At 52.0% G+C, this 20,244-nt stretch overlaps 1 protein-coding gene and 1 long non-coding RNA gene across 9 annotated transcripts in view, besides 4 other annotated features; one reads left to right on the top strand and one right to left on the bottom strand.

Moving 5' to 3' along the window:
- MAP3K14 (mitogen-activated protein kinase kinase kinase 14) overlaps positions 1–19,490 on the top strand; it is a 53,902-nt gene extending 34,412 nt beyond the window's left edge. For 2 of the 4 annotated variants that reach the window (NM_003954.5, XM_011525441.3), the window contains 10 exons: positions 8,016–8,145; positions 8,355–8,486; positions 9,002–9,106; positions 11,388–11,551; positions 12,046–12,196; positions 14,850–15,203; positions 15,411–15,517; positions 15,928–16,072; positions 17,346–17,446; positions 17,809–19,490. In NM_003954.5, coding sequence (NP_003945.2) covers positions 8,016–8,145; positions 8,355–8,486; positions 9,002–9,106; positions 11,388–11,551; positions 12,046–12,196; positions 14,850–15,203; positions 15,411–15,517; positions 15,928–16,072; positions 17,346–17,446; positions 17,809–17,973 — 1,554 coding nt within the window. In that variant the 3' untranslated portion in view covers positions 17,974–19,490. Of the gene's footprint in view, positions 1–8,015; positions 8,146–8,354; positions 8,487–9,001; positions 9,107–11,387; positions 11,552–12,045; positions 12,197–14,849; positions 15,518–15,927; positions 16,073–17,345; positions 17,447–17,808 lie in introns of all 4 variants that reach the window. The other 2 variants (XM_047436997.1, XM_047436998.1) reach the window with 1 other exon arrangement.
- Positions 8,642–9,616: an enhancer, noted in NCBI's record as "H3K27ac-H3K4me1 hESC enhancer chr17:43350360-43351334 (GRCh37/hg19 assembly coordinates)". NCBI's record gives its function as "activates a minimal SCP1, AML or CMV promoter by ChIP-STARR-seq in naive H9 embryonic stem cells {active_cell/tissue: H9 hESC(naive)}" and the evidence as "EXISTENCE:reporter gene assay evidence [ECO:0000049][PMID:30033119]".
- Positions 13,979–20,244, bottom strand: part of MAP3K14-AS1 (MAP3K14 antisense RNA 1) — a 20,706-nt gene continuing 14,440 nt past the window's right edge. For 4 of the 5 annotated variants that reach the window (NR_110325.1, NR_110326.1, NR_024434.2 and 1 more), the window contains 2 exons: positions 15,281–15,496; positions 13,979–14,600 (listed from right to left, as the gene is read on the bottom strand). This is a non-coding gene — a long non-coding RNA (MAP3K14 antisense RNA 1). Of the gene's footprint in view, positions 14,601–15,280; positions 15,497–16,090; positions 16,360–20,244 lie in introns of all 5 variants that reach the window. The other variant, NR_024435.2, reaches the window with a different exon arrangement.
- Positions 14,771–15,970: an enhancer, noted in NCBI's record as "CDK7 strongly-dependent group 2 enhancer chr17:43344006-43345205 (GRCh37/hg19 assembly coordinates)". NCBI's record gives its function as "activates an origin of replication core promoter dependent on BRD2, BRD4, P300/CBP, MED14 and CDK7 cofactors, with strong dependence on CDK7, by STARR-seq in HCT116 cells {active_cell/tissue: HCT116}" and the evidence as "EXISTENCE:reporter gene assay evidence [ECO:0000049][PMID:35650434]".
- Positions 19,474–20,077: an enhancer, noted in NCBI's record as "H3K4me1 hESC enhancer chr17:43339899-43340502 (GRCh37/hg19 assembly coordinates)". NCBI's record gives its function as "activates a minimal SCP1, AML or CMV promoter by ChIP-STARR-seq in naive H9 embryonic stem cells {active_cell/tissue: H9 hESC(naive)}" and the evidence as "EXISTENCE:reporter gene assay evidence [ECO:0000049][PMID:30033119]".
- Positions 20,078–20,244: part of an enhancer, noted in NCBI's record as "H3K4me1 hESC enhancer chr17:43339293-43339898 (GRCh37/hg19 assembly coordinates)", that runs on past the window's edge. NCBI's record gives its function as "activates a minimal SCP1, AML or CMV promoter by ChIP-STARR-seq in naive H9 embryonic stem cells {active_cell/tissue: H9 hESC(naive)}" and the evidence as "EXISTENCE:reporter gene assay evidence [ECO:0000049][PMID:30033119]".

Here is a 20,244-nt window from a genome sequence, read left to right as displayed (position 1 = left end):
ATTTTTAAGGTTTTGTTTGATCTTTTTTCTTTTCTTTCTTTTTTTTTTTTTTTTGAGACAGGATCTCGCTCTGTTGTCCAGGCTAGTATGCAGTGGCATGATCACAGCTCACTGCAGCCTCAGCCCCACAGACCCAAACAACCCTGTTGCCTCAGCTTCCCACATAGCTGGGACTTTAGGCACGCACCACCACACCCAGCTAATTTTTTATTTTTTGTAGAAACAGGATCTCACTATGTTGCCCAGGCTGGACTCAAACTCCTGGGCAACCTCCCAAAGTGCTGGGATTACAGGTGTGAGCCACTGTGCCCCACCAGGATCCCATTTTAATAGAAGAAACAACTACTTGTTTATACACGCATAAAAAGTCCAGGCTGGGTACAGTGGCTCACGCTTGTAATCCCAGTACTTTGGGAGGCTGAGGTGGGAGGATTGCTTGAGGCCAAGAGGTGGAGACCAGCCTGGGCAACATAGCGAGATCGCATGTCTACAAAAGAGTAAAAAATAGAAATAAAAAAGAAATTTCAAAAGTCTAAAAAGATATCTGTCAAAGGGCAGTTACCTCTGAGAATAGGACTGGGGAATGGAGACTTTTGCTTTTTTTGGTATCATTTGCATTCTTTTATAATGAGCCTATATTTGTTTGCAATTAAAAGTAAGATCAGGGCCGAGCACGGTGGCTCACACCTGTAATCCCAGCACTTTGGGAGGCTGAGGCAGGTGGATCACAAGGTTAGGAGTTCAAGACCAGCCTCTGGCCAAGATGGTGAAACCCCATCTCTACTAAAAATACAAATATTAGCCGGGTGTGGTGGCAGGTGCCTGTAATCCCAGCTACTCAGGAGGCTGAGGCAGAGAATTGCTTGAACCTGGGAGGCGGAGGTTGCAGTGAGCCAAGATCACGCCACAGCACTCCAGCCTGGGTGACAGAGCAAGACTCAGTCTCAAAAAAAAAAAAAAAAAAAAAAGAAGTAAGATCAGGCCAGGCCTGTGGCTCATGCCTGTAATCCCAGCACTTTGGGAGACCAAGGGTGGTGGATCACAAGGTCAGGAGATCTGGCCAACACAGTGAAACCCCATCTCTACTAAAAATACAAAAATTAGCCAGGTGTGGTGGCGGGTGCCTGTAGTCCCAGGTACTTGGGAGGCTGAGGCAGAATTGCTTGAACCCAGGAGGCAGAGGTTGCAGTGAGCCGAGATTGTGCCACTGCACTCCAGCCTGGCAACACCAGAGTGAGACTCTGCCTCAAAAAAAAAAAAAAAAAGAAAGATCAGGCGGTGCGGCACTTATACCTATAATCCTAGCACTTCTTTGTAGAGACCCCATCTCTACAAAGAAAAAAAATTAGCCAGGCATGGTGGCATACACCTGTGGTCCTAGCTACTCGGGAGACTGAGGTGGGAGGATCGCTTGAGCCCAGGAAGTAGAGGCTGCAGTGAGCCAAGATCGTACCACTGCACTCCAGCCTGGACAACAGAGTGAGACCCTGTCCCCCAACCCCACAAGAAATGGGATCCTACTCTAGGGACTATTCTGTACCATGTTTTTTTCATGCAATAATATGACAGATTTCCTTATTGGCATATATACAACTCTCTTATGCTTTTTAACGGCCATGTAGAAGTTCTTATCCTAGTCAGTGGATGGATTGATAGGATCCATGAATTCTAGGAAATTTATTCAAAAGAGTGTTTGTCGGCCAGGCGCAGTAGCTCACGCCTGTAATCCCAGCACTTTGGAAGGCCAAAGCGGGCAGATCACTTGAGGTCAGGAGTTCGAGACCAGCCTGGCCAACATGGTGAAACCCCGTCTCTACCAAAAATATAAAAAATTAGCTGGGTGTGGTAGCGCATGCCTGTAATACTAACTACTCGGGAGGCTGAGGCAGGAGAATCACTTGAACCTGGGAGGCAGAGGTTGCAGTGAGCCAAGATCACACCACTGCACTCCAGCCTGGGCAACAGAATGAGACTCCGTCTCAAAAATAAAAGAATACCAAAGAAGGCCGGGTGTGGTGGCTCACGCCTGTAATCCCAGCACTTTGAGAGGCCGAGGCGGGTGAATCACCTGAGGTCGGGAGTTCGAGACCAGCCTGACCAACATGGAGAAACCCTGTCTCTATTAAAAATACAAAAAGTTAGCCAGGCGTGGTGGCGCATGCCTGTAATCTCAGCTACTCAGGAGGCTGAAGCAGGAGAATCGCTTGAACCCAGGAGGCGGAGGTTGCGGTGAGCCAAGATCATGCCACTGCAGTCCAGCCTGGGCGACAGAGCAAGACTCTGTCTCAAAAAAAAAAAAAAAAAAAAAAGTGTTTCTGTGTTGCATGTATGGGCAATCACACATTTTTAAAGAATAATTCATATCATTTCCCAGATCCTCATAGGGGTCTGTAGCCCAAAAAGGGTTAAGAATCACTCCTTTTAGAACATCTGGCTCAAGTGTGGAGTTCTGGGAGCTTTGCTTTGGCTCTGCTGCTGATCTGGGATAATGTGGCCCTGGCCAAGTCAACCCAGCTGTCACCAAACACCTGCTCTGTGCCAGACAATGTGCAGGGGCTGGGGACAGAGATGTGAAATCCACAGGCCTGACCTGAAGGAACCCGAGTTGTAATGGGGGATAGACATTTATATTGGGGTAAAGGTGAGCAGCCTTCAGTCCTGGACACGTGTTTAGAAGGAAAATAGCACAAGGATCAGAGGAAAATACCTCGATAGAGGTGAGAAAATAAGGCGGGACCCTCTAATATTCATTGGACATCTGTGCACAGTACTGTGGTAGCCCCTTTCACATAGTTTACATTCCTGGAATCTTCAAAAGAATTTATAGAATTGCTCTTACGCCTTTTTTTATTGATGGAATAAAACAGATAAGAATACCAAAGAAGAGGCTGGGTGCGGTGGCTCACGTCTGTAATCCCAGCACTTTGGGAGGCCGAGGTGGGCAGATCATGAGGTCAGGAGAGCGAGACCATCCTGGCTAACACAGTGAAACCCCGTATCTACTAAAAATACCAAAAAATTAGCCAGGCATGATGGCGCCACCAGCTACTCGGGAGGCCGAGGCAGGAGAATCGCTTGAACCTGGGAGGCAGAGGTTGCAGTGAGCCAAGATCATGCCACTGCACTCCAGCCTGGGCGACAGAATGAGACTCCGTCTCAAAAAAAAAAAGAATACCAAAGAAGGCTGGGTGTGGTGGCTCACGCCTGTAATCCCAGCACTTTGAGAGGCCGAGGCGGGTGAATCACCTGAGGTCGGGAGTTCGAGACCAGCCTGACCAACATGGAGAAACCCCATCTCTATTAAAAATACAAAAAGCCGGGCGTGGTGGCGCATGCCTGTAATCTCAGCTACTCAGGAGGCTGAAGCAGGAGAATCGCTTGAACCCAGGAGGCGGAGGTTGCGGTGAGCCGAGATCACGCCATTGCACTCCAGCCCGGGCAACAAGAGCGAAACTCCGTTTCAAAAAAAAGAATACCAAAGAAAACAAGAGGGAAGTTCAAGGAGGAAAAAGTGATCCCCAGTGTTCAGTGTGCAGGCAATTGAGGGGAAGGAAGTGGCTTCTGTATCAGGCAGTAGGCTCATTGCTGACAGTGCTTCCACCTGGGGATGCTCAGTCCTAAGTGTATTTTAAAACATTAGCATGGATGCCAGGCACAGTGGCTCACACTTGTAATCTCAACATGTTGGAGGCCGAGGTGGGAGAATCACTTGAGCCTAGGAGTTCAAGACTAGCCTGGGCAATATGGCGAAACCCCATCTCTACAAAAATTAGCTGGGCATGGCACCTATAGTCTCAGCTACTTGGGAGGCTGAGATGGGAGGATCGCTTGAGCCCGGGAAGGTCGAGGCTGCAGTGAGCTGTGATTGTGCCACTGCACTCCAGCCTGGCCAACCAAGGGAGACCTTGTCTCAAAAAAAAAAAAAAAAAGTTCAGCATGGAAAGGCCTTCAGGAGGCAGAGTAGCTGGCAGCTCTGGAGTCAGGCTTGCCCGAGTAAAAGCGCTGCTGTGATCTCTTATACCCAGTGACCTTGGGCAAATTACTTGCCCAGGCTTCAGCTTCTTCATCTATAAAATGGGGATAATGATCCCACCAGCTTACAGGCTATTGTAAGATCTGAATAACTAATGCTTAGAAAGGGCTTTACCGGTGCCTGGGAAATGATAAGTGGGCATTAGATCTTAGTTCTCATGAATATCCTCATCGCAGTCCAGCCCCCTCATTTTACGGATGAGGAACACGGAAGTTCAGAGAGGAGGGGTGGCCAGACGGGCAGCCAGCTTGGCCTGGAAGGCTGGGCTGCTTTCTCCTCTGGCACCGACTTCTAAAGCACCTTGTATTTTGAAGTATCTCCTCCCACCTCTTTGGTCTGGGTGGTTGGAAATATTTTTAGCATGGACGGGACACTCTAAGAGGACTTACAGATTTCTGCAAAGTTAAAGCCAAGTTTCCCCAACTCTTTTGGATCACAGCCCTGTTAATATCTCAGTCATTGTTTCAGGGCAACCCAGGCCAAAACAAATACCCAACAGTTCTGTTTATGAAGCAGTGAGGTCGAATAATAAGTCTTTATCCTAACAACTTAGTAGCCATTTGAAAAGCGTGACATAAGTTGAAAGAAAAAGGGTCCTTCCATTTCCAAACCGCCAGATTATTAACGGGATGTATGCCTTGTTGCACATCTCAACCCTTGAAATCAGATAGGACACCACCACCTTCATATCCCACATTTTCTCCTTGAAGTACTTTTAATCACAGTGACCTGCAAAAACATAGCTTCATAGAGATACATTATCAAAGGGAATGTCACGTGCGTGATCGTACTTTGAAGCTGAACTGTCTCGAGCGAGTAGTTCACGCGGTGTCCTGCAGATACTGCGGTGGCCGTTTCCCTCAAATGTCAGATATCCATTTGGCGCCCTTCTGAGTTATCTGCAGTGCCCCGGGGTGCCTCAGCTCAGTTTGGGGGTGGTTAGGCTGAAGACATTTGCTAACAAGTCCTGTTGTTGAATTAGTTCCAACTCAGGTTCAGAGGCTTTTTAGAGCTGGAAACACTGGCAGAGTCAAAGTTCATGGGAGGTGATTAACCAAACCAGATATTAGGGAACCAGAAGGGCGACATTTTCCACTGATAGGCAAAAGTCCAAAAACCCCACAGTGTCAGGGCTGTTTGCCAAGTCAGCAAGTCTGTGAAGATCGCTTCCAAGCTGGTTCTGTTACTGCCAGCGCCCCCTGGCGATGCTACTCAAGGCTTACTTGAGAACCATCAGCAGCTAGGAAGGAGGACAAGTCTACTAAGCGGGGAGGGGGGAGGAATAGCATTAGGAGATATACCTAATGCTAAATGACAAGTTAATGGGTGCAGCACACCAACATGGCACATGTATACATATGTAACAAACCTGCACATTGTGCACATGTACCCTAAAACTTAAAGTATAATAATAAATAAAATTAAAAAAAAGAAGAAGAAGCCTAAGAGGCCGTGCGCAGTGGCTCACGCCTGTAATCCCAGCACTTTGGGAGGCTGAGGTGGGCGGATCATGAGGCCAGGAGTTCAAGACCAGCCTGGCCAACGTGGTGAAACTCTGTCTCTACTAAAAATACAAAAATTAGCTGGATGTGGTGGCACGTGCCTGTAATCCCAGCTACTCAGGAGGCTGAGGCACAAGAATCGCTTGAACCCAGGAGGCGGAGGTTGCAGTGAGCTGAGATATCACACCACTGCACTCCAGCCTGGTGACAGAGCGAGACTCTGTCTCAAAAAAAAAAAAAAAAAAAAAAAGAAGTCTAAGAGGCCGGGCACAGTGGCTCACGCCTGTAATCCCAGCACTTTGGGAGGCCAAGGTAGGCGGATCACCTGAGGTCAGGAGTTTAAGACCAGCCTGACCAACATGGTGAAACCCTGCCTCTACTAAAAATATGAAAAATTAGCTGTGCATAGTGGCAGGTGCCTGTAATCCCAGCTACTGGGGAGGCTGAGGCAGGAGAATTGCTTGAACCCAGGAGGCGGAGGTTGTAATTAGCTGAGATTGCGCCACTGCACTCCAGCCTGGGCGACACAGCGAGACTCTGTCTCAAAAAAAAAAAAGGTCTAAGTCAGTCTAAGTATCAGCTTCTCTGATGTGAGCTGGAGGAATTGGGGAGCTAGCACTTCCTGAGTGCCCACTGGTTGCCAGGCCTGGTGTCAGTTACCATCCTTCCAAATCCTTGCTCTACCCAGGAGCAGATACCACCGTCCCTGCTGTTTGCATGTGGAAATATGTGGATGGGAAGTCTGCTGCCTTGTTTTAAAAGGCGGAGCCAGGATCTAAGCCCAAGATGTTTATATCCAAGGCCTATTTCCTCCCACCAAGTTGCTGGTCCCTGCAGAAAGGAGTGGATGATCCCGGACCTGCCATTTGGCAGTGGGAGTGGCCTTGGCCACTCCCCAGAAGCCTCCTCAGAAGCCTCCTTAAGTTCCCAGATGCTGGGAGACAGCTGCAAACAGAATAAACACTGCTCTGTCTATGTGGATGTTTTAGTCCTCCGGGAAAGAAAAGTGTTGAGGCCGGGCATGGTGGCTCACGCCTGTAATCCTAGCACTTTGGGAGGCCAACGCAGGCAAATCACAAGGTTAGGAGTTTGAGACCAGCCTGGCCAGCATGGTGAAACCCCGTCTCTACTAAAAAATACAAAAATTATCTGGGCCTGGTGGCGCACACTTGTAGTCCCAGCTACTCGGGAGGCTGAGGCAGGAGAATTGCTTGAACCCGGGAGGCAGAGGTTGCAATGAATAGAGATCACGTCACTGTACTCCAGCCTGGGCGACAGAGCAAGACCTCTGTCTCAAAAAAAAAAAAAAAAAAGAAAAGAAAAGAAAAAAAAATGCACCCGATGGAGTCCAAATCTTGGTTCTTGACAGTCAGATAAGTCAAAAACCCAGCTTCTGAGAGTAGACATGGATGTTGATAAGCAAAAGGTCCCACATCCTAGAAATTGCCCAGAAATTTAGCTGGAGGAAAAAATGTTCTGCGTTTGGCAGATTTGAGGGCGGACAGCGTGCCAGCAGCCAGGATGACGAATGTAGGGGGTTTTTTGTTTTTTTGTTTGTTTTTTTGTGGGTTTTTTTTTGTTTTTTTTTTTTGAGATGGAGTCTCACTCTGTCGCCAGACTGGAGCGCAGTGGTGCGACCTCGGCTTATTGCGACCTTGGCTCATTGCAACCTCCGACTCCCAGGTTCAAGTGATTCTCCTGCCTCAGCCTCCCAAGTAGCTGGGATTACAGCCACGTGCCACCACACCCAGCTAATTTTTGTATTTTTAGTAGAGACAGGGTTTCGCCATGTTGGCCAAGATGGTCTTGATCTCCCGACCTCGATCTCCTTGATCCACCCGCCTCAGCCTCCCAAAGTGCTGAGATTACAGCCATGAGCCACCGCGCCCGGCTGGAATGTAGTGTTTTGTTTTGTTTTTTTAATTTTTTTTTTTTGAGACGGAGTCTCACTTTGTTGCCCAGGCTGGAGTGCACTGGCGCAATCTCAGCTCACTGCAAGCTCCGCCTCCTGGGTTCACGCCATTCTCCTGCCTCAGCCTCCCGAGTAGCTGGGACTACAGGCACCCGCCGCCACGCCCAGCTAATTTTTTTGTATTTTTTAGTAGAGACGGGGTTTCACTGTGTTAGCCAGGATGGTCTCGATCTCCTGACCTCGTGATCCACCCGCCTCGGCCTCCCAAAGTGCTGGGATTATAGGCATGAGCCACTGCGCCCGGTGCGGATGTAGTTTTTATGTGGCTGTTTTTGCACACAGGCAGCACTCCAGAACTTTAATTAAGTACAAGAAGTTGCTCCTGATACCAAGGGCACGGGATACACAATTTAGCCTCTGAGGGTCCAGCAGGCCCCCCAGGCCCCTGCATCACCACTGGAAACAGCAGCAGCCTCTGTGTGTGGAGCACTAGGGTGCTGACAGGATGCCAGGGACCCAGCTCTGGTCCCCTCACCCTGTCTTAACAGCTGCCTCTGGGCCCTTGCAGGTGCGGCTGGAAGTATTTCGGGCAGAGGAGCTGATGGCATGTGCAGGATTGACCTCACCCAGAATTGTCCCTTTGTATGGAGCTGTGAGAGAAGGGCCTTGGGTCAACATCTTCATGGAGCTGCTGGAAGGTAAGGAGCCAGGTCCCACTCTTTCTCCAAATTCAGGGCCAAGAGTTCCCCCCTGAGTCTTGCCCAAGTTGGCCTTGGTCACTGATCTATCCATTGTTAACCTCTTGACCCTGTGACCCTGCTTTCCACTGCCTGCCCTGTGCTCTTGCCCTTGGCTGGCATGGAGGCTCGGGCAAGTCCCATGTATAGCCTGGCCTTTGGTCTCCTAGGTGGCTCCCTGGGCCAGCTGGTCAAGGAGCAGGGCTGTCTCCCAGAGGACCGGGCCCTGTACTACCTGGGCCAGGCCCTGGAGGGTCTGGAATACCTCCACTCACGAAGGATTCTGCATGGGGACGTCAAAGGTAAGGCCCAGGCCCCACGGCCCTGATCCCCAGCAGGCTCTTCTCTCACACCATCCTGTCTGATCTCCTCTCAGTTCTGGGCTAGCCTGGTCATCCCCAGTAGCAGGCCCTGAGTCAGGCTGACAGGACTGTGCCTGTAGGAAGGGGAATGATGTTCTCCAACCCCTTAGCCAAGCACTGTAGTTTCTGGTAGACGGTGGCCACAGAGAACCGAAGGTCAAGCTCCCACCCACTGGTGACCCCTGGTATGGGGTCGGCGCAGGCGAGCAGAGTGGCAGCGTTCCCGAGTAAACCCTGCTCCTGTCCCTTTGCCCTCAGAGATCCTGCCTACCTCTAGCCTGAATTGATACCCTCCTCCCTTCCTCCACGATTAATGAAACTAATCAGAAGCAGCAGCTGCCACGTAGGGTCAGCCAGAAAATTACATCACTGGAGGGCAGGCCAAACCGAGCCAGGGTGGGCTGGGACCCGGCATGACTCACCTGTTCCTCTTCCTCCCCGGGGCGGCCTGGCAGCTGACAACGTGCTCCTGTCCAGCGATGGGAGCCACGCAGCCCTCTGTGACTTTGGCCATGCTGTGTGTCTTCAACCTGATGGCCTGGGAAAGTCCTTGCTCACAGGTAAGGCCCCCCACCAACTGCCGTGCCCCCCAATGCATTCATTCGCCAAATGCCTTCCATGCTTTCCAGAATGGGAATTGAGGTGTGAACACTTAGGTCCACCTGTGTGTTTAAGCCCCGCAACCAGCCTGGATGATTATCAGGGGTTTCTTTGTTACGCGTAAATGTGATAATAGATGTCAGGTGCTCATTGTCGATGCTCCTGTACACAGGGAAGAGAAGGGAAAGGCTGGTTGACTCTCCGTAGGTCCCAGGCCTTCTGCCTTGGAGTCCCCGTGGCTCCTACCTCTTGTCTGGCCTTTGCAGGGGAGTGCACTGCCAGCCTGTGACCCCAGCTCTCCTGCGCCTCTGAGCACGGTTGGCTGGAAGCACAGTGGGCAGGCTGACCAAGGGGCCTGGGCTCTAAAGTCAGTGAAATATCTTTCTTTAACTCCTCTGATTATTGAAATAATCCATGCCCACTGTGAAGTATAGAGTTAAGCATATAAAAGAGGCAGAGAACAGAATTCTCACCATGTCTCTTACCCAGAGAGAGAATCACAAATTTTTTTGTTGTTTTCATTGAGACAGAGTCTCACTCTGTCACCCAGGCTGGAGTGCAGTGGCACAATCTCAGCTCACTGCAACCTCCTCCTCCCGGGTTCAAGTAATTCTCCTGCCTCAGCCTCCTGAGTAGCTGGGATTACAGGCGCCTTCCACCATGCCCAGCTAATTTTTGTATTTTTAGTAGGGACGGGGTTTTGCCATATTGGCCAGGCCAGTCTCAAACTCCAGACCTTAGGTGATCCGCCCCACTCAGCCTCCCAAAGTGCTGGAATTACAGGCATGAGCCTCCGTGCCCGGCCGAATCATGAATATTTTAAATAACTCCTTCCAGGCTGTTGTTTTCCCTGTGCCTAGTTAGGGCCATTATAACACAATTTTGTGCCCTGCGTTTTTCATGTATAGCCTTAAGGATAAAATGATTTCATTTTGACCAACGGAAAAAGAATCTTTGGAAGTATATGATTGTGTGTTGTTAAAGGACTATGTTGGCAATTCTGAAGATGTAAATTGAATGTGGACACTTGACCTCCACCCGTGTTGTTTTAAGCCCTTTTAAAATAACTGTAGTGGGCTTTTTCTTGTTACAAAAAAAAATGTATCTTTTCTGATTCTTTTTAACTTTTATTTTTTAGAGACAGAGTCTTGCTCTGTCACCCAGGCTGGAGTGCAGTAGCTCACTCATAGCTCACTGCAGCCTCAAGCTCCTTGGTTCAAGCGATCCTCCCACCTCAGCCTCCTGAGTAGCTGGGACCACAGCATGTACCACCATGTCCGGCTCAATTTTTATGTTTTTTGTAGATATACATGGGGTCTCAGTATGTTGCCCAGGCTGGTCTTAAATTCCTGGATTTAAGCATTCCTCCCACCTCAGTCTCCCAAAGTGCTGGGATTACAGGCATGAGCCACTGCCTGACCCTTTTTTCTAATATCTGTTGAAGAAAGTAGAGCTAAGCAAAAATTACAAATACAAATCACCAGGAAAAAAACCACTGTTCACATCTGCCATCTATCCTTTCAGTCTTTTACGCATATAAGTTTTCTATTACAATTTTTAAATTTCACTTACTAGTATTTCTTACTAGTAAGAAGTATTACTTACTGGTATTACTTACTAGCCTTCTACAACCTAATTTGTAATGTCCAGCCCCTGCCCCATTTTTAAAAAACACTTTAAGGGTTTGGTCCAAAGGGCAGAGTCCACATCATGGATGCTCTGTTACTTTGTACAAGTTCCCAGCAGAGTCCCCGCCTAGCTCCTCCCTACAAGTCTGACTTGGAGACTTTATTTCTATATTTAAAGTATTTTAACATGTCCGGGCACAGTGGCTCATGCCTGTAATCTCAGCACTTTGGGAGGCCGAGGTGGGTGGATCACCTGAGGTCAGGAGTTCGAGACCAGCCTGGCCAACATGGGTGAAACCCCATCTCTACAAAAACATAAAAATTAGCTGGGCATGGTGGCTCATGCCTGTAATTCCAGCTACTTGGGAGGCTGAGGCAGGAGAATCTCTTGAACCCGGGAGGTGGAGGTTGCAGTGAGCCAAGATCGCGCCATTGTACTCCAGCCTGGGTGACAGAGCAAGACTCCATCTCAAAGAACTAAAAAGATAATAAAATAAAAAGTACTTTAACAGTGACAAATGTAAGATACCCCGAGGATTAACCAGGGTGGCCATTGCCTAGGCTCCTGCCCATCAGCATTCCAGGTAACTTTATGTCTCATCCCCCTTCTCAGGGGACTACATCCCTGGCACAGAGACCCACATGGCTCCGGAGGTGGTGCTGGGCAGGAGCTGCGACGCCAAGGTGGATGTCTGGAGCAGCTGCTGTATGATGCTGCACATGCTCAACGGCTGCCACCCCTGGACTCAGTTCTTCCGAGGGCCGCTCTGCCTCAAGGTCGGTGACGGCACCCAGCATGGCCAACAGGGGGAGCTGCAGGGCCCTGGGGCCCAGGCTGCAGGCTGGAGGGGCTGCTCTGCGGTGGCAGATGGAGCAAGGGGAGGCCTGGTCATCCATGTGGGATCCTAATTCAAATACTTGCCACCCAAATCTGGGGGTACAAGGGGAGATCCAGCTGCGGAGGCTCACCAAGTTCATGGCAGGTGAGAACTCTCTTCTGTCCATACCCTGGGCCCCATCCACCTGCCTCCTAACGGGCCGGGCCTGGAGGCTGTGGGCGTCTTGCTGCCTGGCTCTGGCCTGTTTTACTGGCTCCATTTGTCCCTTTCCTGGGAAAAGTGCCCTCACTGTAGCCCAGACCCCTCCATTCCTTGTGGTAGACCCCAGCACAGCGGGAACAGGGGCCGGCGGGAGTTGCGCAAAGAGCAATAACAGCCGGGTATCAGGAAATGAGGGAAGGCAGGCCTCACCTGTTGTCTTTTGCCCCCCAGATTGCCAGCGAGCCTCCGCCTGTGAGGGAGATCCCACCCTCCTGCGCCCCTCTCACAGCCCAGGCCATCCAAGAGGGGCTGAGGAAAGAGCCCATCCACCGCGTGTCTGCAGCGGAGCTGGGAGGGAAGGTGAACCGGGCACTACAGCAAGGTAGGAAGAGCCCCACGCTGGCTGACCCGGGGGGCAGAAGACAGAGGTGGACAGAGGAGGCAGGTGGGCGCAGGTCCAGAGCAAGGCACCCCTCAGAGCCTTAGTTTCCCCCTCTGGATTATGGGGGTGCAGCAGCCTCAGGGTTGTTGGGAGATTGCGACAGTGCCACGCCTGGACCCAGAGGCAGCGCTCAGGAGATGGGAAAGAGAAAACTCACACGCAAACTCGAAGTGCTTTTTCCATTCTCCCACTCAACTACAATCAACCCAGAAGACTCCTGTGACCACATGTGTGGGGATTTCCACCCCACCAAGCCAGCAATCAGTTCTGCAGCAGACACTAGCTTGGTGTCCTCTAATTCAGTTCTGTTCCAACACTATCTACCTGGAGGTAGCATCAGATCCCACAGCAGGAGGGCTCGATCCCCAAGACTGCACCCCCTAGCCATGCCAGTCTCAGGCCCACGTGTTTACCTGTGCTTCTGACCAACTGGCTATAAGTCAGGGACCCCATGACCCCCTCCTTGGGATTGATTAATTTGCTGGAGTGGCTCACAGAACTCAGAGAAACACTTCCTTACATTTACCAGTTTATTAGAAAGGATATTACAAAGGATACAAATGAAGAGATGCATAGGGCAAGGCATGTGGGAGGGAGCACAGAGCTTCCAGGGCTTGGCACCCTCCAGGAACCTCCATGTGCCCAGCTACCAGAAGTTCTCTGAACCCGGTCTTCTTGGGTTTTTGTGTAGGCTTCATTACGTAGGCATGATTGAATAAATCACTGGCCATTGGCGAACCGCTTAACCTTTAGCCCCCTTCCCTCCCAGTACGTGGGATGGTGGGATGAAAGTCCCAACCCTCTAATCCTGCCTATGTCTCTCTGATGACCAGCCCCCATCTTGAAGCTACCTAGGGGCTGCCAGCCTTCAGTCAATCCATTAGTACACAGAAAGAGATCATTTTGGAGAGTAAGGCTTTTAGGAGTTCTGTGCCAGAAATGGGGTTAAAGATAAAATATATGTTTACTAGTATCATAAGGGTTATGATGTATAGAGGGGGCTCAAACTCACTAGGAATCCAAGAATACAAAATAAAGACAGGCCGGGAGCAGTGGCTCACACCTGTAATCCCAGCACTTTGGGAGGCTGGGGCAGGAGGATCGCTTGAGGCCAGGAGTTCAAGATCAGCCTGGGCAACATAGCAAGACCCTTTCTCTGCAAAAAAATTTAAAAATTAGCCAGGCATGGTGGCACATGCGTGTAGTCCTAGCTACTCAGGAGGTGAGAGGATTGTTTGAGCCTGGAAGGTCGAGGCTGCAGTGAGCCATGATTGCACCACTGCACTCCAGCCTGCGCAACAGAGACCCGACTCAAAAAATAAATAAATAAATAAAGCCAGGTAACACTCAAGAGCCATTTGACTGGAAAAAAGCAGAAAGTTGGTGGGATGTAGGGCTGTTGGGACCCCTCAGGTGCTGCTGATGGGCATGTGGACAAGGCTACCCACTCTGGGGGGGCACCTGGCTGCACTCAGGCAGACGTCTGCAGACTGAGACCAAGGACTTCTACCCCTGGGTGCACTGACAAACGAATGCCAGCAGATCCATATGGGGACACGCCTGAGGACGCGCACTACAGCTTCCTTTGTGGGAGGGGAGTAGGGTACGATGGGGTCCCTCACTGGGAGGACAGAGACACAAAAGGGGATGCCTCATGGAGCACCAAGCAGTTAAAGCAACTCGGCGTTCACAGAGCAGCATGGATGGATCCTAAAGCCATGGTGCCGAGTGAAAAGAGAACCCGACACAGAATGGGACCCAGAACATAATGCCTGTTTGGTAAACTAAAAATTGATCAATAGCCAGGTATGGTGGCGCACATCTGTAGTCCCAGCCACTCAGAAGATTGAGGTGGAAGGATCGCTTGAGCCCAGGAGTTGGAGTCCAGCCTGGGCAACATGATGAGACCTCATCTCTTTAAAAAAATAAAAATAAAAATAAATTGATAAATAAAACAACGCACATTTTGCAAGGACACAACCAAATCAAAAATGACACATCAAACATAATAGAATGTCACCTGAGGGATGGGCACAAAAAAGGCTGTGATTATAGGAATGAAAATGAAATAAAGAAAACCAGAGAGATCTTGCACCTCACCAAAGACAGCTGGTAGTTATAAGGATGAGGGTGGTCCCAGGGCTGAACTAGCCCCATGCCAGAACAAACGGTGCCTGGGGAAGTACCGACTGAGGATGGGGTAGGAGAGATGGTGGGTCCAGGATGCCACTTTGCCTGGGAGCTCTTGAGTTGGTGTAGCCCCAGGGCTGTTTTCAATCTTCTCTTTCTTGTTAACAAAGTCCTCTGGAGCTGATTCTGTAGTTTTTGAATTTGCTACTGATACCTAGAAGAAAAACAGAATCAAAGACAGAAATCCAGTCCTATCCCTGTCATATTGGGACCATTTTATTGAGGAAGTCTCCTGTGGAGACCACCATGCTGCCCTCTGGAGCCACCTCCCATGGTGGCCCGGGGCAGTGTCCTCCCCTTTGTTTGCCTCTAGCCCTTCTGCACTCAGGAGAGGCCGCTCCTGCCTGGACCGCTGTCTGTGCACAGCACGCTTCCCCTCACCATTGTACTCTCTGTTTTCTAGTGGGAGGTCTGAAGAGCCCTTGGAGGGGAGAATATAAAGAACCAAGACATCCACCGCCAAATCAAGCCAATTACCACCAGACCCTCCATGCCCAGCCGAGAGAGCTTTCGCCAAGGGCCCCAGGGCCCCGGCCAGCTGAGGAGACAACAGGCAGAGCCCCTAAGCTCCAGCCTCCTCTCCCACCAGAGCCCCCAGAGCCAAACAAGTCTCCTCCCTTGACTTTGAGCAAGGAGGAGTCTGGGATGTGGGAACCCTTACCTCTGTCCTCCCTGGAGCCAGCCCCTGCCAGAAACCCCAGCTCACCAGAGCGGAAAGCAACCGTCCCGGAGCAGGAACTGCAGCAGCTGGAAATAGGTACGGGCAGCCGTGGCTGCAGTGGGGCCCTGAGCACTGGCCCTGGGCCACCCGCGGAGGCCGGTGTTTCTCTTTACCTGCGGTGTGGGCTTTCTTCCAGCCCCTTCCCCAGCAGCTCAGCTTCTACCGACTGTGCAGGAAGAACCCCTGAAAACACAGCCAGCCTCCTCCCAGTCTTTCACAGCCATCTTCCACTTTTCCCTGCAGAATTATTCCTCAACAGCCTGTCCCAGCCATTTTCTCTGGAGGAGCAGGAGCAAATTCTCTCGTGCCTCAGCATCGACAGCCTCTCCCTGTCGGATGACAGTGAGAAGGTGAGTCGGTTGTGGCCCCGGAGCCATGGCTCCAGGGGTGTGGTTTTCCCGGCCCTGGCACAGAGCAAGTAGCTTTGCGTCCAGCTAGTGAATGGACACTGTGCAAGTAGTGGGTAAAGGGAGGGTGATGGGGGTCACCCCTTCCTTCTGGTGGGGGTCCTCACTAGGTTGGGGGAGGTGGTCATGGTTCAGAGTCAGAGAAACCATGGGAATCTACCCTTCTGGGATTAGGGAATGTGTTTTGCCACCAGAGATAATGGGGAGGCAGGCCTTCGTCCCCCATGGAGGCAACCCTTACCCTCCTCCAGCTGAGGGCATGAGCAGTGCCCCTTTTCCCCAAATGAGACCCAAGCCGGAGATGGATCCTGGAGCCCAGGGCCCTGAGCCCGTACCCAATCCTGTTGTTTCAGAACCCATCAAAGGCCTCTCAAAGCTCGCGGGACACCCTGAGCTCAGGCGTACACTCCTGGAGCAGCCAGGCCGAGGCTCGAAGCTCCAGCTGGAACATGGTGCTGGCCCGGGGGCGGCCCACCGACACCCCAAGCTATTTCAATGGTACAGTCCAATTCCCACCTGCTCAGCAGTCCCCGTGGCAGCTGATCTGCCTGGAGCTAGACAGCCATTGAGGGATTTTGTCTCCCCTCCTCTGGCACAGTGGGAGGGAGGAAGGCGCCTGGTCCCAGAACTTGAGGTTCCTGGCCAGTAAGTTGGGTTTCAAGCAAAGGTCCCAATCACCCATGAGCCTTTCCTGATGGGGCAGTGAGGGACCATTATCCCCTCATTGTCAGTTGATGGAGTCCCAGAAGGTTCCCCTAGCTTGGGGAGGAGAGCAGTCTCTTGACCTGGAGTCAGGAAAATGAGCAATTAATCTCTTCTAAAGGGAAAAGGAACAGGACCCATGAGCATTTTAATCAAAAACTCAGCAAAAGGAATCCCCCTCTGGGATTTGAGGTCAGATGAGAAAGACAACATAAAATTCCTTCGTTTTCAAGCTTGATTGCATAGGTTATGATGTGGCTTTGCTACAACAAGGGCATCATCAGCTTGGAGTTCCCTGGCCCTCTCCAGGGCAAGTGTGACTCATGGCATCAGGGCCCCATGGCTGGCCAAAGGCCACTTCAACTCAGGCAACAATCTAAATTGCCCATAATCTAATTTAAGAATCCTTGTGTTCAGTTCCTTTCTGCTTTGCATCCAAGTTGAAATACTACTTCCCCATAGGAGCCAGCCCCAGCTCTTAGCAATGCACAGGCCAAATCCCAGGTGCTGACGGCCAGGAAGAACTAGCAGGTGTATATAATATGAGGGCTGTTCCAGCCTGAATTTTTTTTTTCTTATAAAAATGCAGCTTTGTGACCAGGTGTGGTGGCCCACACCTGTAATCCCAGCACTTTGGGAGGCCAAGGCAGGTGGATTACATGAGGTCAGGGGTTCGAGACCAGCCTGGCCAACATGGTGAAACCCCGTCTCTACTAAAAATACAAAAATTAGCTGGGTATAGTGGCGCATGCCTGTAATCCCAGCTACTTGAGAGGCTGAGGCAGGAGAATCACTTGAACCCGGGAGGTAAAGGTTGCAGTGAACTGAGATCACGCCACTGCACTCCAGCCAGGGCGACACAGTGAGACTCTGTCTCAAAAACAAAAAAATGCAGCTGTGCTTAGACCAGCCTAAATTTTATCTCTGCTGCTCCATCACAGCCAGACCTGCTCCCCCTACATAGGGCAGAGTGACTTTTAACAAAAACGTTCCCCCAGCCCCTGCCAGGACCCTGGTCCTTGGGGAGCCAGCAGCCGCTCTCCTGACTATCACCTTGTCCGCCTTCTAGGTGTGAAAGTCCAAATACAGTCTCTTAATGGTGAACACCTGCACATCCGGGAGTTCCACCGGGTCAAAGTGGGAGACATCGCCACTGGCATCAGCAGCCAGGTAAGGGGGGCAGGTACACTCTGACGGGCAGAGTCCCAGAAGCCAATGCAGCTGGCCCCACCCTCCAGGAGGAAAGCTTTCAAAGAAGTAGAATGGCACTCTAGGGAATACTTGGAATTGGCCTTCAACGTCCCCCAGGACCTCAAAGCATTTCCCAGGGCCTCAAAGCAAGGCTGGCAGTGGTGACAAAGAGGTCCTCCAGACCTACACTTGAGCCGGGTGGGATTCTCTGAGTCCCGTGGAATGACAGACAGGCAGTGCCCTTAGGGCTGCCGGTCTGGCTGGAAGGAGATGTCTTTACCTTTCTACATGGCTTGAGCCCTATGCCATGATCTCAGCCCACTGGTTTGCTCCACCCTTAGATCCCAGCTGCAGCCTTCAGCTTGGTCACCAAAGACGGGCAGCCTGTTCGCTACGACATGGAGGTGCCAGACTCGGGCATCGACCTGCAGTGCACACTGGCCCCTGATGGCAGCTTCGCCTGGAGCTGGAGGGTCAAGCATGGCCAGCTGGAGAACAGGCCCTAACCCTGCCCTCCACCGCCGGCTCCACACTGCCGGAAGCAGCCTTCCTGCTCGGTGCACGATGCTGCCCTGAAACACAGGCTCAGCCGTTCCCAGGGATCTGCCAGCCCCCGGCTCAGCAGTGGGACCAGGGCCTCGCAGCAGCAAGGTGGGGGCAAGCAGAATGCCTCCCAGGATTTCACACCTGAGCCCTGCCCCACCCTGCTGAGAAAACACTCCGCCACGTGAAGAGACAGAGGAGGATGGCAGGAGTTACCTCGGGAAACAAACAGGATCTTCTCTGCCCTGCTCCAGTCGAGTTGGCCTGACCCGCTTGGATCAGTGACCATTTGCTGGCAGACAGGGGAGAGCAGCTTCCAGCCTGGGTCAGAAGGGGTGGGCGAGCCCCTCGGCCCCTCACCCTCCAGGCTGCTGTGAGAGTGTCAAGTGTGTAAGGGCCCAAACTCAGGTTCAGTGCAGAACCAGGTCAGCAGGTATGCCCGCCCGTAGGTTAAGGGGGCCCTCTAAACCCCTTGCCTGGCCTCACCTGGCCAGCTCACCCCTTTTGGGTGTAGGGGAAAAGAATGCCTGACCCTGGGAAGGCTCCCTGGTAGAATACACCACACTTTTCAGGTTGTTGCAACACAGGTCCTGAGTTGACCTCTGGTTCAGCCAAGGACCAAAGAAGGTGTGTAAGTGAAGTGGTTCTCAGTCCCCAGACATGTGCCCCTTTGCTGCTGGCTACCACTCTTCCCCAGAGCAGCAGGCCCCGAGCCCCTTCAGGCCCAGCACTGCCCCAGACTCGCTGGCACTCAGTTCCCTCATCTGTAAAGGTGAAGGGTGATGCAGGATATGCCTGACAGGAACAGTCTGTGGATGGACATGATCAGTGCTAAGGAAAGCAGCAGAGAGAGACGCTCCGGCGCCCCAGCCCCACTATCAGTGTCCAGCGTGCTGGTTCCCCAGAGCACAGCTCAGCATCACACTGACACTCACCCTGCCCTGCCCCTGGCCAGAGGGTACTGCCGACGGCACTTTGCACTCTGATGACCTCAAAGCACTTTCATGGCTGCCCTCTGGCAGGGCAGGGCAGGGCAGTGACACTGTAGGAGCATAGCAAGCCAGGAGATGGGGTGAAGGGACACAGTCTTGAGCTGTCCACATGCATGTGACTCCTCAAACCTCTTCCAGATTTCTCTAAGAATAGCACCCCCTTCCCCATTGCCCCAGCTTAGCCTCTTCTCCCAGGGGAGCTACTCAGGACTCACGTAGCATTAAATCAGCTGTGAATCGTCAGGGGGTGTCTGCTAGCCTCAACCTCCTGGGGCAGGGGACGCCGAGACTCCGTGGGAGAAGCTCATTCCCACATCTTGCCAAGACAGCCTTTGTCCAGCTGTCCACATTGAGTCAGACTGCTCCCGGGGAGAGAGCCCCGGCCCCCAGCACATAAAGAACTGCAGCCTTGGTACTGCAGAGTCTGGGTTGTAGAGAACTCTTTGTAAGCAATAAAGTTTGGGGTGATGACAAATGTTTCCAGGCCATCGGTGTCCTCTCTCTTGCCTGCCGGCCTGCTGAACCTCACGACCCTAACAGCTGCCTCTCTTTGCCTTCTTGCTGAGATCTTTTCAAGTCCCCCTTGTTTTGGACAAGGACTGTTTCAGCCCTTGAGTGGGGCTGCTTTCCCACCACTCCTCCCAGTGGCTGCTTCTAGTCCCAACGCTGGGCTAGTCATTCAGACCAGTTAGGCAAGATACCTTGCCCGGTGGCATCAGGGAAGTCCCTCGCCAAAATATGCCAGGCTGAGGGGTGGAGGAGGAGGACAACAAAGCCTGCATGCTTTGTGCCACTGCCCAAGTTAGGCAGCCCCCTACCACCAGAAGGGAAATAGGGATGGGTTCTGGGCCCTGACCATCCAGGGATGCCGGATGCACACCACAGGCCCTCCACCCTCCCCTCCTGTCCTTGAGGCCTGGACTCTTAACCCTTTCCGCTGCCTCCTGAGCCCTGCATGGGGCCAGGGATGCCTTTGTGGGCTGAGTTCCTTGGTCATGGAGCTGGGGCACACGGGGTGCTGAGTTCCTTGGTCATGGAGCTGGGGCACACGGGGTGCTGAGTTCCTTGGTCATGGAGCTGGGGCACACGGGGTGCCTTATCGAATCTGGCTCCACACTCCCTGTGTGCACAAGTGTGTGTGCGCGCGGCTTGGGTTGGTTTAGCCGGTTCTTGGAAGGGCCCTGGGACCACGAAAAGGGCGGCAGCCCTGAGCCGCTGGCGTGCAGAGCGGGTGCAAGTCCT

This window comes from Homo sapiens, chromosome 17 (genome assembly GCF_000001405.40).
Source record: "Homo sapiens chromosome 17, GRCh38.p14 Primary Assembly".
Classification (NCBI taxonomy): domain Eukaryota; kingdom Metazoa; phylum Chordata; class Mammalia; order Primates; family Hominidae; genus Homo; species Homo sapiens.
The sequence above is the reverse complement of the archived record's forward strand: the minus strand, read 5'-3'. Positions and strand labels throughout refer to the sequence as shown.